Raw genomic sequence first — 15,752 nt, 5'->3', positions numbered from 1 at the left:
ATCTGTATGTTTCTACCAGCCAGCACAGTGCCTGTCACCAAGGAGGAACTCAATAAGAGGTGATTGAACGAGTGATTGAAACAATTCACTGGATGGGTGGATGCACAGTGTCTGGTCCTGGGATCAGGAAATGGAGTAACTTGGGAAGACAGCATAGCCCACTGGGAGCCAGGAAGACAGGACAGCTGGAATCAAGTGAAAGGCCCCCAAGAGAGGTTTTGGCTGAGGGACTGAAGTGCAGCTTCTCCATTACAATTATACCTGGGCCTGCGCAGGCAGGGGGTGCCCCTCTAAAGCTCTTAGTTTCTTATGCAAGGGCCTGTTACTTGCTGGTCTGAGCAACATCCCCTCCAGGAGGCAGGTATCTTTGTGTGTTTTGAGTAGCTTCCATGCCTTGTGCATACATCTGTTATGAATACCAGTGTGGGTGGATCCCGAGCCAGGAGGAGGAAGCCGGCACTGGCCCTGTTGGCTGCTCAGCTGCCCGGGGCTGAGAGGCCGGTAGGCAGCTGTGGTCCCGAGGGGCAGCGCTGATCCCTGAGAGTGGGTCCCACAGCTGGGCAGGCAGGTGGCCTGAGGGCGCAGAGCCATGAAGCTGTACAGCCTCAGTGTCCTCTACAAAGGCGAGGCCAAGGCAGTGCTGCTCAAAGCCAGGTACGACGATGTCGCTTCCTTCAGCTTTTTCCAGAGATCCAGCGTTCAGGAATTCATGACCTTCACGAATCAACTGATCGTGGAGCACTCATCCAAAGGCACTAGAGCTTCTGTCGAAGAACAAGACTATATGTGGCACGTCTATGTCCGGAATGACAGTCTTGCAGGTGACAATGAATGCCCATCCCGGATGGCCTTTACCTTGCTGGAGAAAGTACTAGATGAATTCTCCAAGCAAGTCAACAGGATAGACTGGCCAGAAGGATCCCCTGCTACAATCCATTCTGCAGCCCTGGATGGTCACCTCAGTAGACACCAGAACCCACGAGACGCTGACCCTGTGACTAACGTGCAGGCCGAACCAGATGAAACCCAAATCGTTGTGCACAACACCATGGAGTGTTTGTTAGAGCGAGGTGAGAAGCGAGGTGGCTTGGTGTCCAAATCCGAGGGCTGGGAACACAGTCTAAAGCCTTCTATAAAACCGCCCGGAGGCTGGGCACGGTGGCTCATGCCTGTAGCACTTTGGAGGCCAAGGCGGGCGGATCACCTGAGGTCAGGAGTTCGCGCCCAGCCTGGGCAACATGGTGAAACCCTGTCTCTACTAAAATACAAAAAGTTAGCCAGGCATGGCAGCCTGCACCTGTAGTCCCAGCTACGCGGGAGGCTGAGGCAGGAGAATTGCTTGAACCTGGGAGGCGGAGGTTGCAGTAAGCCGAGATTGCATCACTGCACTCCAGCCTGGGCGACAGAGCAAGACTCCCTCTCAAAAAAAAAAAAAAATTCCCGGAAACAAAACTCGTGTTGTGCAATGGCCCAGCACTGGAACAGCACCATCATCTGCGTCAGAACTGCAGTCCCCAGAGAAGAAGAGAGAGCCCTGCACGAGGACCTGGAGTGGGGGCACACAGGCCATTTTTATTTTGAAGCTCTCAGGAGAAACAGGGATGGTGGAAGGGTGGGAAATGTTCAAATTAATATGTGTGGTAGTGATTCTTGGAAAGAATTTGAGGTCCCCAAAGGCGTATTTTTGGGCAAATGAAACCATAAACTCCAACTGGCTTCTGAAGAAAAAAAAAAAAAAAAAGAATATCAATGTGTTTCTAGAACAGCACCTGGCACATAGCAGATACCTCTTGTAGTTATTGAAGAAATGGACATATTCAGAATGAGAAGGTTCACTGTGTGTCTGAGGGGAGAGCTATTGTTTTCCGACCAACACGATATTTGTTGTGGTGCGGAGCGGCTGCACGTTTGGAAACACAGGGCTTTCATGTGACTTGTGTGAACTAATGGCTGCACACCAGTTCTACGGGAAATGGGAAAGCGTTAGTGGTCAGAGCCAGCTGCCTGGGGGGCTGGCCTGCTTCGCTGCTCATGAGCCTCGCACTTATGGGCCAGTTGTGACCACCCAAGGGGTTCACCTTGCCTGCTGCCTAGATTGAGCCAATTCACCAAGACAGGGGAACTGCAATAGACAAAGAGTAATTCATGCAAATCCGACTGTGTAGGAGACTGGAGTTTTATTATTACTCAAATCAGTCTCCCCGAGCATGCTGGGAGCAGAGTTTCTAAGGACAATTCGATGGGCAGGAGAAAGCCAGTGAGCCGGGGTGCTGATTGGTCAGGGGTGAAATCACAGGGAGTCAAAGCTGTCTCGTGCTGAGTCAGTTCCTGGGTGGGGGCCACAGGATCAGGTGAGCCAGTTTATTGATGGGGTGGTGCCAGCTGATCCATCAAGTGCAGGGTCTGCAAATATCTCAAGCACTGATCTTAGGAGCAGTTTAGGGAGGGTCAGAATCTTGTAGCCTCCAGCTGCACGACTCCTAAACTATAATTTCTAACCTTGTGGCTGATGTTAGTCCTACAAAGGCAATCTAGTCCCCAGGCAAGAAGGAGGTCAGCTTTGGGAAAGGGCTGTTATCGTCTTTGTTTTAAACTATAAACTATAAACTAAGTATTTCCCAAAGTTAGTTCAGTCTATGCCCAGGAATGAACAAGGACAGCTTGGAGGTGAGAAGCAAGATGGAGTCGGTTAAGTTAGATCTCTCTCACTGTCTTAGTCTTAATTTTGCAAAGGCAGTTTCACAGTTGCCTGGCCTCTGGATGCCTGTGTTCCCGCAGTGGTGTGGGCTTTAGTGACAGCACCTTCCTCTCAGGGCTTTCATGAGGAGTAAATAAATTAATAGGCATAAAGCACTTGGAAAAGAGCCTATTCTAACCACTAGGTATATAGAAGTGGTGATTATTAGAGCTGGTCTGGATCCCTTGCAGTTGCTGAAATTGTATGCAGCTCCTAGGTGAGAAAAGATGAGTGTTGGATTCTTTTAGCAATATGAAGCAGACAGGCTGTTTAGCGCCCTGAATAGTCATCCAAATGGCTTCACTTCTTGCTAGCCCCAAAGGGTCGGTAGGAAGGCAGTTCTGATATCCTGAAAAAATGTTTGCGGTCATACCCTTTCCTCAGAAAGCCAGCACTGCAGAGAGAACTCCAATGCACACACTGAGTCGTGAGTCCAGCACCGCCTGAATTAAAGCTAAATATGGCCAAGGATTCTCCAAAGAAATCCTCACTGAAGACAGAAATTTGGGTCCAATATTTCATCTTCATGAAGTAAAAAGTTTTTCCCGGGGCCGGGAGTGTTGTCTCACGCCTGTAATCCCAGCACTTTGGGAGGCTGAGGCAGGAGGATCACTTGAGCCCAAGAATTCAAGACCAGCCTGGCAACATGGTGAAACCCTGTCTCTATAAAAAATATCAAAAAAAAAAAAAAAAAAAAATTAACCAGGAGTGGTGGCACATGCCCGCAATTCCAGCTACTCAGGAGGCTGAGATGGGAGGATCACTTGAACCAAGGAGGTCATGGCTGCAGTGAGCCACGATAGCACCAGTGCACTCCAGCCTGGATGACAGAGCGAGACTGTCTCAAAAAGAGGAAAAAACAAATTAACTTCAAACACCTTCACCCAAGCATAAATCTGGAAACTAAATTATTTCTTTATTTAAACCAATTTTGACAGACCCATGTAATAATGATATAGATTGATATTTATTGGAAAGAAAAAGTCTTCACCACATGACAAATTTTTTTAAAGTAGTGAAAATGTGTGTATTACATGATACCAGTTTTTATACTGGTGCGGTGGCTCATGCCTGTAATCCCAGCACTTTGGGAGGCCAAAATGGGTAGATCACCTGAGGTCAGGAGTTCGAGACCAGCCTGGCCAATATGGTGAAACCGCATCTCTACAAAAAATATGAAAATCAGCAGGGCGTGGTGGTGGGCGCCTGTCGTCCCAGCTACTCCGGAGGCTGAGGCAGCAGAATTGGTTGAACCCAGAAGGCAGAGGGAGGTTGCAGTGAACCGAGATCGTGCCACTGCACTCCAACCTGGGCGACAGCAAGACTTCATCTCAAAAAAAAAAAAAGAAAGAAAAAGAAATGAAATTCTGTCTCTACACATACGTGTGCAAATGCACAAACATACGCACACAGATACACACACCCCTCAGGTTTGAATAGTGATTATATGTATATAGTTCTTGATTGATCTTAATGACTTATTGCCTCTGTGAGTTTTTAAATTTTTCTACAATGAATATGTAACACTTTTGAAGAAAGAACTGTTGGCCGGGTGCGGTGGCTCACGCCTGTAATCCCAACACTTTCGAGGCCAAGGCGGGTGGATCACCTGAGCTCAGGAGTTCAAGACCAGCCTGACCAACATGGAGAAACCCTGTCTGTACTAAAAATACAAAATTAGTTGGGTGTGGTAGCCGCATGCCTGTAATCCCAGCTACTCGGGAGGCCGAGGCAGGAGAATCGCTTGAACCTGGGAGGCGGAGGTTGCAGTGAGCCAAGATCGTGCCATTGCACTCCAGCCTAGGCAACAAGAGCGAAACTCCGTCTCAAAGAAAGAAAGAAAAAGAAAGAACTGTCAAAATACACACACACACACACACACACACACACACACACACACACACCCCTTCCTGAGGAAGAAAACTGAGCAGAAGGAATTAGTTTCTAGTAGACGAATTTCAAAGTAGAAATCCTTTCTTCATGGGGACGGGGGTGTGTCACTGACCCCTCCATCATGTTGCCCTTCCCCCCATTCCCCACTCAGAGGCTGGCTCAGAAGCCCCAGTGTCACCTTGGTGAGAAGTGGCTGCCCTGTCCCATCCTGGAGTCCTGGGGTCCTCCTCCTCTGAGCCATGTGAGAGTTGGCACGTTACATCATCACCTCTGTTTTTGGCAGCCAGCCCAGTGCTCAGATGGCTAAGAGGTGACACCCTATAACAAATAAACAGGAAAGAGAAAGAAGCAATTCACTTGGATGACATCTAACACAGACATGAAGAAAAAGGCCACGCCGTCCCTAAAGGACAAATGATAACACCAGGCAGAGCAGGCTCCACTGGGCATAGGATGCAAAGGTTGACCTGTCACAAGCAGCATCAAAGAAAGTTGCTCTGAGGGCACGAGCCAGCTTTAATTAATAGCTCACCACTGCATCTTGGAGATGGGTTTCCCACTCTGGTGGAATATTCCATTAGACTTGCTGACAATATTTCATGTCAAATAAGGTATAGATTGACCTGCAGGTCAAGACTGTGGTGGTGTGATCAAGAAAGGAAGCGCAGGCCGGGTGCGGTCGCTCATGCCTGTAATCCCAGCACTTTGGGAGGCCGAGGCAGGCAGATCACTTGAGGCCAGGAGTTCGAGACCAGCCTGGCCAACATGGTGAAACCCCATCTCTACTAAAACACCAAAATTAGCCAGGCTATAGTAGCACATGCCTGTTATCCCAGTTACTCAGGAGGCTGAGACATGAGAATTATTTGTACCCGGGAAGTGGAGGTTGCAGTGAGCTGAGATCATGCCACTACACTCCAACCTGGGCAACAGAGTGAGATACTGGAAAAAAAAAAAAAAAGGAAGGAAGGAGGGAGGGAGGGAGGGGAGAAAGGAAAGGAAAGGAAAGGAGAGTGCAGGGGTACACAGTTTAATGTGACAGTAACATCTTGGCATACTTGGTTGCTAAAACAGGTTGTTAAGCAGAAGGACACAGATGTAAGCTTTGAAGCTCAGAATTCAGGGAAAGTAGGGCCTTCCTGGGTCTGCAGAGAGCAAACCCAACCACGAAGAGGCAACGCCCTCGAATTCACTTCCAACAGACCTTTCCAGGGCCCTTCATTTGAGCAGCTGGAATATCATTCAGCAACCATCCTGTCAGCCTTTGGAAACAGGAGACTTGCATTTCATTTCAGACACTGAACACTGTGTTCCGGACCGCGTTTATTCTCCATATAAACAGCGTGTTTTGAGAATCATGCGTTTATTGTATAATACCGAGTCAGGTCACAGTAAACTCATTTCCGTCGTGAAAGGTTTCAAGTATTCAGAGGAGGTTAAGAAGAATAAAAAGCTTATAACAAAACAACCTCTGTTTCCAAAGTGCTAAATAATGAAAAATGTGGTGTGAAAACGTCACTAAATTCCATTTAAACATCCGAAGTTCAGTCAAGGGAAAAGCAAGTATTAAAGTCAGTGACAGAGTCATGAAAACTCAGCGGCTTCGATACTAGTGGGTAAGTCAGCAAGGTGTTTGTACAAGGAAACCAGGCACCTGGACAATTTCCTAAAACCGGCCCCAACTGGAGAAAGTGATATGGAACCTAAATACTTAGGATGTCTAATAGCTACAGCTATTTTGAGAAGAGGAGAAAATCTTTGCCTAGTAAAACCATGATTCTCAGGCATCCACATCTCCAGAACTCTCAGGCTTTCAAACTGGGTCCCAATCAGGAGATACTAAACACACACACATATACTGACATACGAAGATACCTGGGATATTTTTGCATCTCTTTTTTTTTTTTTTTTTTTTGGAGATGGAGTCTTGCGACTGTCACCCAGGCTGGAGTGCAGTGGCTCAATCTCAGCTCACTGCAACCTCTGGCTCGTGGGTTCAAGCAATTCTCCCGCCTCAGCCACTCGAGTAGCTGGGACTACAGGCGCACACCACCACACCTGGCTAATTTTTGTATTTTAGTAGAGATGGGGTTTCACCATGTTGGCCAGGCTGATCTTGAACTCCTGACTCGTGATCCACCCACCTCAGCCTCCCAAAGTGCTGTGACTACAGGTGTGAGACACCATGCCCGGCCTCCATCTCTTCATTTTCTAAATCAATTAAACATGGCTTGGCCCTCAGTCCCCGACCTGGCAGATAATCCAGTCTGAGCCATGTTTTGGGGATTGCACTCTCCACACCCCTTGGGCTCATGTAGGAACTCCTGGGCCTGTGCAGTCCACAGAAGTCCAACTGGAGGAAGGTCCTATGGATCTGGGGTTGCTGGCATAACTCATGTGGCCTCACAAAGGTGGGTGGCACCCCTTCTTCCTGGCTGAGCCTCACATGAAGATCTGAGCCAAGAAGTCCAGGCTTTCAGGTGGGGCTGGCAGCTCTCCAGGGGCAACTCAGGTGCCCACTGAAGACACTGCAGGCACACAGTGCACCGTCCCACCCCCCGCCCCAAGGAAATCCCCCAAAGGCCTAAACCTAAGCCATCCACCTTGACTCCAGGTTGCACCACTTCCCTCTTCCTGCCAGTGAGCAGCCTCCTTCCTTCCCACTGGCGGTCCTAATAACTTCCCTCCCTCAACAAGAGGGATAATGAGACTCTAGCCCAGATATTACAAACCAGATGCCTGAAGGCAAAATTCTGAGTTGTTTTGACCATACTCTATTTTTACTACTTGCCAACACTTTACAAAATCGAATTTTCATGTAAAAACCCAGCTTCCTGTCTTCAGGTGCACTGGCAAGACCAGGCCCACAGTCCCAGAAGCCGTAACTGGTTGGAGCCGACCGACAGCGTTCCATGGGACATGTGTTCTCTGCTTTGCCACAGTCTCCACTCCTCCCTTTCGTAGCACCGGGAACACTTTACAAATTTACATAACCTACCTGACCCCTGTGAGATGTGAACTTTGCAGTCTACCCTCAAGGTCTCAAAGGTTGGCTGCCTTTCTGGGATTAGGAAAGGATTCATTCTTTCAGATTTCCCAAAGAACAAGGGAAATCATGACGTGCCTGTAGCTTCTCCTGTTGTTACATCCACATGGAGCCCCCCAATGGGAAAGCAGGGAAAGCTGGATATGGGCCCCCAGCTTTCCCATCTCACATGGCCTGCAGCAGTGGTCCACCCACATGTTAAGGAAAAGATTATTCTCACCCTTGTTTTTGTGTTGTTTTTGTTTTTGGTTTTTTGGGGTTTTTTTGTTTGTTTGTTTGTTTTTTTGATGTAGAGTCTCCCTCTGTCGCCCAGGCTGGAGTGCAGTGGCGCAATCTCGGCTCACTGCAACCTCCACCTCCCAGGTTCAAGCAATTCTCCTGCCTCAACCTCCTTAGTAGCTGGGATTACAGGCGTGCACCACCACACTCAGCTAATTTTTGTATTTTTAGTAGAGACAGGGTTTCACCATGTTGGCCAGGCTGGTTTCAAACTCCTGACATCAGGTGATCCGCCCGCCTAAGCCTCCCAAAGTGCTAGGATTACAGGCGTGAGCCACCACAACTGGCCCTCACCCTTGTTAAAGGACGGACTTTACTCAGGACTATCATGATAGTGACAGGGACCACCGCAATGGGATTTTGCAGCAGGACAGAGAGATAGGGGAAAGTGGGAGTTGTTAGCCATGGAGCAGGGCAGGAGGCTCAGCAGATGGAAAATGATTCAGATGAAACATCAGGCCATGGGGATTCTGGCTATACTCAACTAAGAGGGCTCTTGCTGAAGGCAGGCCAAGGCTATGGTGGGGGCGAGGATTTGATCAGATACGGAGGGTGACCCACTATCGAGGCTAAACTGACTTAGCAGGATTCTTGCTAAAACTGGGATTTTAAGGATGTGTCTAAGGAGAGAGCCTCATTGAAAAACAGCTCAGAGGAGGCTGGGCTAGAGTTTGGTCAAGGAGAGAATCTTTGTCACAGACCTCCCCTCCTCACAGACAGGCCTCTCTCCAACGGGCTAGAAGGACTGTGCCTGGCTGTAAATGGCTGTAAAATGCCTGCCTCTTTCTCCACACTTCAAGGAGACTGAAGGGAAGAGAGGAGAATGCCAGGAGAGGGGCAGCTCCTTAGAGCACGGGGAGGGGCTCTGAGCAGCAGCGCTGGAAGCTGTGATGGGCGGTCGGTCAGTCCCAACAGCAAAAAGAAGGGAGCTGGCCCCAAGGAGACAGGGGACTAGGAGTTTGACACTCAGGAGGAACCAGCAGATTCTGCCCTCTGCACAGAGGTCATGTGACTTGTGCGGCAGGGGCCAGCTCGAGGGGTGGCAGTCACAGTACAAGGTGACACAATAATGGTGAGCCTAGGTTTCAGGCCTGGGTTCCATACCAAATATGTTTATATTTATATCACGACAATCACGGGTGGGAGGTTGTATCTCGCATTATAGAAAAATATTAGAATCTGGGTGTGGTGGCTCACACCTGGAATCCCAACACTTTGGGAGGCCAACGCAGGCAGATTGCTTGAACTCAGGAGTTCAAGACCAGCCTGGGCAACATGGTGAAGTTCTGTCTCTACAAAAATACAAAAATTAGCTGGGGGTGGTGGTGTGTGCCTGTAGTCCCAGCTACTTGGGAGACTGAGGTAGGAGGATCGCTTGAGCCTGGGAGGCAGAGGTTGCAGTGAGCCAAGATTGCACCATTGTACTCCAGCCTGGGTGACAGAGCAAGACCTTGTCTTAAAAAAAAAAAAAAAAAAAGAAAGAAAGCAATGCACAGGCTGGGGGTGGTGGCCCACACCTGTAATCCCAGCACTTTGGGAGGTCAAGGCAGGTGGACCACCTGAGGTCAGGATTTTGAGACCAGCCAGGAGACGGAGGCAGTGAGCCAAAATCATGCCACTGCACTCCAGCCTGGATGACAGAGCAAGACTCCATCTCAAAAAAAAAAAAAAAAAAAAAAAAAGCAATGCACACAATTAAAGGTTGTTGGGTAACTTCGCAGCCCTGAAAGACACTAGGAAGTCTTCCAACATATCTGAATTTCAAAGAAGGCTTGAGATAGAGAAAGACCTTCTTCCTGGGTCCCCCAGCTACCATATACTCTCCAGCCAGCGGTGCTCTCCCAAGTACCTTTGCATAGTGAACAAAGTGCACAGCCATGATCAGCATTATTTCTTCTATTTAACAGTGTGGAATCTACGAGAGGACTTATTGCTCACTGAGCACAGGGAGTGGGGCCTATGAAGTGGGTTCAGTGAACCCAACAGGTATTACTCACTGCTCTGCAATATTTATGGTGCTGGAGATACCCAGCATCCTGGGGTGTAGACTGAGGAGGAAGGGCTAGGCTAGAGGGCAACCTTTCAAAGAATGGAAGCTGTTAAGGCCTCTGGCTGTAGTGGGTGGACAGTGGGCAGAGTGAGAAAGGAGTAACAGTGATGTTAACTAGCATCTAGTAAGTACTTTCCCCATAAGAAGCTCCATGTAAATCACTTTATAAGTATTGTCTCTTTGCATCTTCCCCCACATGAGGTATGTACTATATTATCCCCATTTCACAGGGAAGGAATCTAAGGTTGAAGCAAGTTATATGACCTGCCCAGGCCTCAGTGGTAATAAATGGTAGAGTTGGGGTTTGAACTTAAGTCCCAGGAGTCTGGGAACAACTAAACATAAGGAAAGGGCAAAGGAGACAGAAAAATGAGAAGCTCCCAAAGTGGGTGACTTTAGAGGAGGGAGGTGGCAAAGCAGCCAAGGGGCTGAGCTCTGGGCAGAAGAGGAAGGAGACTAAGCCTCGGGAGGGGCCCCAGGATGGCAACAGATGGGGAGACATTTCCCAGGAGCTGTGAAGGCTGAAAGCAAACTGTGGGCTGGTGGGGAATTAATGGGAGATGAGGAAATGTAGACACGGACAACATGGATGCCTTTACCAAGAAGCCAGGCTGTGGAATAAAGATCAACAGTAACAAACCCCTTCAACGTGTAATTTCATTGTTAGGCCAAACTGGAAGAGAGCCAAAAGCCACCAGGAGCCCAGTCCAAATGTCACCTGCCCACCACACACAGCGGGCTTCCTGTGGTATGAACTATTCACCCCAAATCAGCCTCTTCCCCAGAGCAAACGCCTACCCTGTTGGTATATTTGTAGTCCCTTTCCTGCCTGCCAAGGTGCTGGAAGTAATTGTGCAGGTATGAGCTGGCCAGCCATAGGGCAGCAACCCTCTATGCAGACACAGAATGTCCTGAGCACACCAGGAACTGCAGACACCAGCACCCCACATGACTTCTAGAACTTCCAAGTGCCCACTGATGACATCCTCTGTAAATGCCCCAAGAGAGCAATGCTTTTTTGCCTTGGAAACATCTTTTATACAATCCAGTCTCTCCCAGATCCCTGACCTGAGGCATCGAGGAGAGTTGGTTTGTTTTTAGAAGGCAGCCATTCTTGACAAAATGCACACAAAGATTGGCAGCTATCTGCCTTCCAGGGGCCCCATGAGAGACTAACTCCTCTCCTTCCAACTCCTCTACTTTCAAAGCAAGATGTAGTTTGGGGACAAAATCAGGGAAAGGAGAAACAGGATTTCTTCTCTCCCCGCCACCCGCCATCAGGCTACCAGAGTTTTTAAGGGTAGAGATAGGCTCAGATTTTCCCTGAGGGGTTACGTATACAAAAAATATTCCATAATCATCCAATGGGATCATTACAAATTACTGGATAAAAGCCTTTCTTTCTTCAATCCTCATAGCCCTCTTCTCTTCAAAGAAGTCCACAGAGCTGGAAAAATATAGGAGACAAAAGATTTAAAGACGAATCTAGGGCGAAAACAAAGTGGAAACTTCCCAGCCATGTTCTTGAATGCTAAGCTGAGCCCTGATTCATCAAACACTTTGAATGTGATTCCTAAAATCAATCTTTTCTTTTTCATTTAAAAAAAACAATGCCTACAGGCTCACATTTTGTAGAACAGTGGTGAAAGAGAATTGAAAATATTATTCAAACATATTTTACAACTAACTGAAAAGAACAAACATTTAGAGAAGTGAAAGTCACTGAAATAGGCCTCCCCTGTGCTTTTCTTCAAAGATTTTCTGATGTCAGCTTAGAAGTGAGTTAGAGAAAGGATTAAATACAAAGGAGGGGAGGGGTTCTCTCATCAGCCACCCATGAGAATTGGGAGTTTCTGGCTCAGGCCAGAGAGGCGACTGCCCCTGCCGGGGGACCTCCACCTCTCGGCCACCTTTTTCCACCTGCATAGCCCCTTCCCCCATCAAACTGCACTTAGGAAGGTCAATAATGGTGCTGGTGGTCACATATTCCCTGACGTTCCTGGGTTCAGTTGCTGCTATGTCTTTTTAGATGCTAATTTTATGCTTCACTCAAAGGTTTTCCAAAGAAAGAGGCTTTTAAGTAATGAAAGAATGAATGGGGTTTAAAGCCCTGGCAAGCTGATACCGATCAGTCTCTGGAAAGGTACAAAGCACGCTGTAGAACGGGTTTGGCTTGGAACTGAAACCACGCATCGGAGAAAATATTTGCAACAGAGGGGGTGTCACTGCCACAGGAAACTTAGCAAGGGGCCCATTTCCCAGTATAGTTTAGTTATCTCAAAAGATTTCTTCCCTGTCCAGGTATTATTACCACAGGAGACTGGGAAGAATCACCAGATGAAAATGCTTACATTTAATACTAAAGCTTCCTTGCAAAGCAATAAAAGTTTTATATGATTTAATTTATTAGTTTCATTGTAGAACGATTTTTAACCAGTCTTGTCCGAGACTCAGAATTTTGGTTGACTTTTGTACTTAAATTTACCACGGAATTTTCTTTCCACTTGTAAGATTTAAGTGTTTAACAAGTACTTGCTGGTAAAGGCGCTAACAAAAGCGTTGCTGAGTAACACCAGAACTGTTCACACACTAAAAGGCTGAGACGGGGGAAGAGCAGACGAGGGGGATCTTCTCTGGGGAAAAGATAGAGGCTAGGATGTGCCACCCCTCGGAAGAGCAGATGGACAGCACGACTGCTGCCGTCCCAGCCACCACGGTCCCAGCACCAGACACCGGCTTCGAGTGGTTTCTTATCTTCACTTCTTCCTCTTAAAAAAAAAAGAAAAAAAAATCAAATAATACACAAAGGCATAAAAAATAACACAATCAGCACCTTTTACTCCCCCACTACCCAGCTTAAGAAATAAAACATGATAGGCCGGGCGCGGTGGCTCACGCCTGGAATCCCAGCACTTTGGGATGCCAAGGCGGGCGGATCAGGAGGTCAGGAGATCGAGACCATCCTGGCTAACACGGTGAAACCCCGTCTCTACTAAAAATACAAAAACACATTAGCCCGGTGTGGTGGCGGGTGCCTGTAGTCCCAGCTACTCGGGAGGCTCACTCTGTCACCCAGGCTGGAGTGCAGTGGCGCAATCTCGGCTCACTGAAACCTCTGCTGCCCGGGTTCAAGCAATTCTCCTGTCTCTGCCTCCTGAGTAGCTGGATTATAGGCGCCTGCCGCCATGCCTGGCTAATTTTTGTATTTTTAGTAGAGATGGGGTTTCACCATCTTAGCCAGGCTGGTCTTGAACTCCTGACCTTGTGATCCACCTGTCTCGGCCTCCCAAAGTGCTGGGATTACAGGCATGAGCCACCGCGCCTGGACTTTTTTTTTTTTTTTTTTTTTTTTTGAGATGGAGTCTCGCTTTGTTGCCCAGGCTGGAGTACAGTGGCTCCATCTCGGCTCACTGCAAGCTCCGCCTCCTGGGTTCATGCCCTTCTCCTGCCTCAGCCTCCTGAGTAGCTGGGACTACAGGCACCCACCACCACACCTGGCTAATTTTTGTATTTTTTTAGTGGAGACAGGTTTCACTGTGTTAGCCAGGATGGTCTCGATCTCCTGACCTTGTGATCCGCCCGTTTTGGCCTCCCAAAGGGCTGGGATTACAGGGGTGAGCCACCACACCTGGCCTGGTCTCGATCTCTTGACCTCACAATCTGCCCACCTCGGCCTCCCAAAGTGCTGGGAGTACAGGTGTGAGCCACCATGCCTGGCCTATACTGCACATTTTTAAGCTTTATATGCCCAAAGGTGTGTGGAATCATAAGCAAGTATTTTTTGTGGGGGCGTCTGTCTATATAAACAATTTGAGTTGCCCAAACCAGCATATTAGTACCATTCTGGCAGCCCAATCTTGTGCTATGCCACCTGCCAACAGGAACACCAGCCAACTGCACCAGCCAACAGGAGCAATCTGCTCAGAGTTCTTCCTGGAACCAAGACTTGGACACAAAGGTGCAGCCCAGAGCTGCTAGGGGCATCTGGTCAACCTCAGGAGCTGTGCAAAGGGTGGAGAGGAAAGCTAGTCATCTGGGTCTCTGTCCAAGCTCTGCCCTAGCTCCTGAGATGTGGGACCCATGACAGGGGCCCCATTTGCACCAGTCTAGGACCAGTACAAGTATACCACATGTGTACTTCTGAAGTTCACATTTACCATTCAACATTGTGTGAATTATCCATGTTGACAACCACAGCTCTAGCTCATTCACTTTCATTGCTATTTAGCATTCCATTATATAGACAACAATTTATTTATTCATTCTCCTGATAATGGACATTTTGTTTCCAATTTCCTACTATAAAAGAATTCACGTGGTGTCATTCATCTGGGGTAATACCCGAGGCTTCGTTGTCCCACGCCAAGGAAATCAAGGATGCAGACACACAAGGAGTGAAGTTAACAGTGGTGGTTTAATAGGCGAAAGAAAGAGAAATGCTCTCTCGGGCAGATAGAGGGGGTCCTGAGCGGGTCTTCAGGTCCACAGTGAAGCGCAGGAGGTTTTATAGATAAGCTTGAGGAGGCAGTGTCTGATTTAGCTAGGGCACGAAAGATTGGTCAAACCAGTTGTGCCATTTGCATACAGCACGAAGAACTGGTTAGGACTGGGTGTGCCATTTGCATAGCGTGCAAAGAAGCTGGCCGCCCCACCCTAATCTTTTACTATGCAGGTGGGGTCTCCACCTGGCCGGTGCCATGTTGCCTGCTTCTTTACTGCACACGTGGTGACAAAGAAAAGGGAAGATGGAGTCTCCATATTGAATATACCTGGTCCCCAGGTAGCCTTTTCCTGTTGGCACAGCTGCCAGCATTCACCCATGCAAGCTTCCAGCTTGCTTATCTATGTTTGCAGCTTGATTTTATAGGCTGCTCTTTGTTAGAAAAGAAATGATTTGGGGGCTGCTTTTTGTTTAAAAGGCAGCCTTGCCAAGGACTCCTTTAGCCTCACTATCTGCCTAAATAATTTCTTTTTAGCTCCTGTATCAGAATGATACATTAAATATTCTTTGACATATCTCCTGCCATGTGCAAGGGCTTGTCTGCAGTGCGTACCTAAAAGGGAATTACTGCATCTTATCGTATGTGTATTGTCAACTTTATTAGATATTTTCAACTTATTCTACCAAGTGATTACCAATTTATATTATCATTACTGTAAATTGCTTCATAGCCACATCAATTGTTGGTACTGTCAACCTGAAATAATCAAAAGGGTCAGAATCTAATTTTAAAGGAGTGTATTCAAATGCAAAGTTTGAGAATAGTCCACCAGGAAACCAACTCCAAGGAATGGAGTTGGCAGTTCAAAGTAGGGAAGTTAAGGTTTCATTTATACAGGGAGAGACAGGGTAGCTTTTAGCAAGATTAGAACATTTTTCATACAAGGTTGGTACATAGTTATAGCAATTTGACTGATGATAGGCAGTGTTTGTGGGAAGGCTACATTTAGCATTTTTTAAAATAAAGGGTATAATAGCGATGGGTTTTGTCATCTGCGATCAGCAAGGCAGGACAACAAAGGGGATGTTAATCAATAACAAAGGCCATTAATTAGGAAGACAGGAGGTTGTTGTCCCTGGTGTTATTTAATTCTCTCTAGTTATTGTACAGAACAAGAAAAATAAGAAAGTAAGTTAATCTATAATCTGAGAAACAGACGTTGTAATCATATATGACTCAGATCACAGTCACATCTCTCTCAATGCTTAAAGTGTTCTGGGATTCCAACAGCTTGTAAATTATATT

The 15,752-nt window shown here is 47.5% G+C and overlaps 1 long non-coding RNA gene and 1 pseudogene across 7 annotated transcripts in view, besides 2 other annotated features; one reads left to right on the top strand and one right to left on the bottom strand.

Moving 5' to 3' along the window:
* Nucleotides 430–1,147, top strand: YKT6P1 (YKT6 pseudogene 1; annotated as a pseudogene).
* Nucleotides 11,144–11,937: an enhancer, noted in NCBI's record as "OCT4-NANOG-H3K27ac hESC enhancer chr6:159331835-159332628 (GRCh37/hg19 assembly coordinates)". NCBI's record gives its function as "activates a minimal SCP1, AML or CMV promoter by ChIP-STARR-seq in naive H9 embryonic stem cells {active_cell/tissue: H9 hESC(naive)}" and the evidence as "EXISTENCE:reporter gene assay evidence [ECO:0000049][PMID:30033119]".
* Nucleotides 11,938–12,731: an enhancer, noted in NCBI's record as "OCT4-NANOG-H3K27ac-H3K4me1 hESC enhancer chr6:159331041-159331834 (GRCh37/hg19 assembly coordinates)". NCBI's record gives its function as "activates a minimal SCP1, AML or CMV promoter by ChIP-STARR-seq in naive H9 embryonic stem cells {active_cell/tissue: H9 hESC(naive)}" and the evidence as "EXISTENCE:reporter gene assay evidence [ECO:0000049][PMID:30033119]".
* LINC02901 (long intergenic non-protein coding RNA 2901) overlaps nt 12,387–15,752 on the bottom strand; it is a 40,540-nt gene continuing 37,174 nt past the window's right edge. For all 7 annotated transcript variants that reach the window (NR_160977.1, NR_160980.1, NR_160978.1 and 4 more), the window contains one exon: nt 12,387–12,773. This is a non-coding gene — a long non-coding RNA (long intergenic non-protein coding RNA 2901). The remainder of the gene's footprint in view (nt 12,774–15,752) is intronic.

Source organism: Homo sapiens, chromosome 6 (assembly GCF_000001405.40).
Source record: "Homo sapiens chromosome 6, GRCh38.p14 Primary Assembly".
Taxonomy (NCBI): domain Eukaryota; kingdom Metazoa; phylum Chordata; class Mammalia; order Primates; family Hominidae; genus Homo; species Homo sapiens.
The sequence above is the reverse complement of the archived record's forward strand: the minus strand, read 5'-3'. Positions and strand labels throughout refer to the sequence as shown.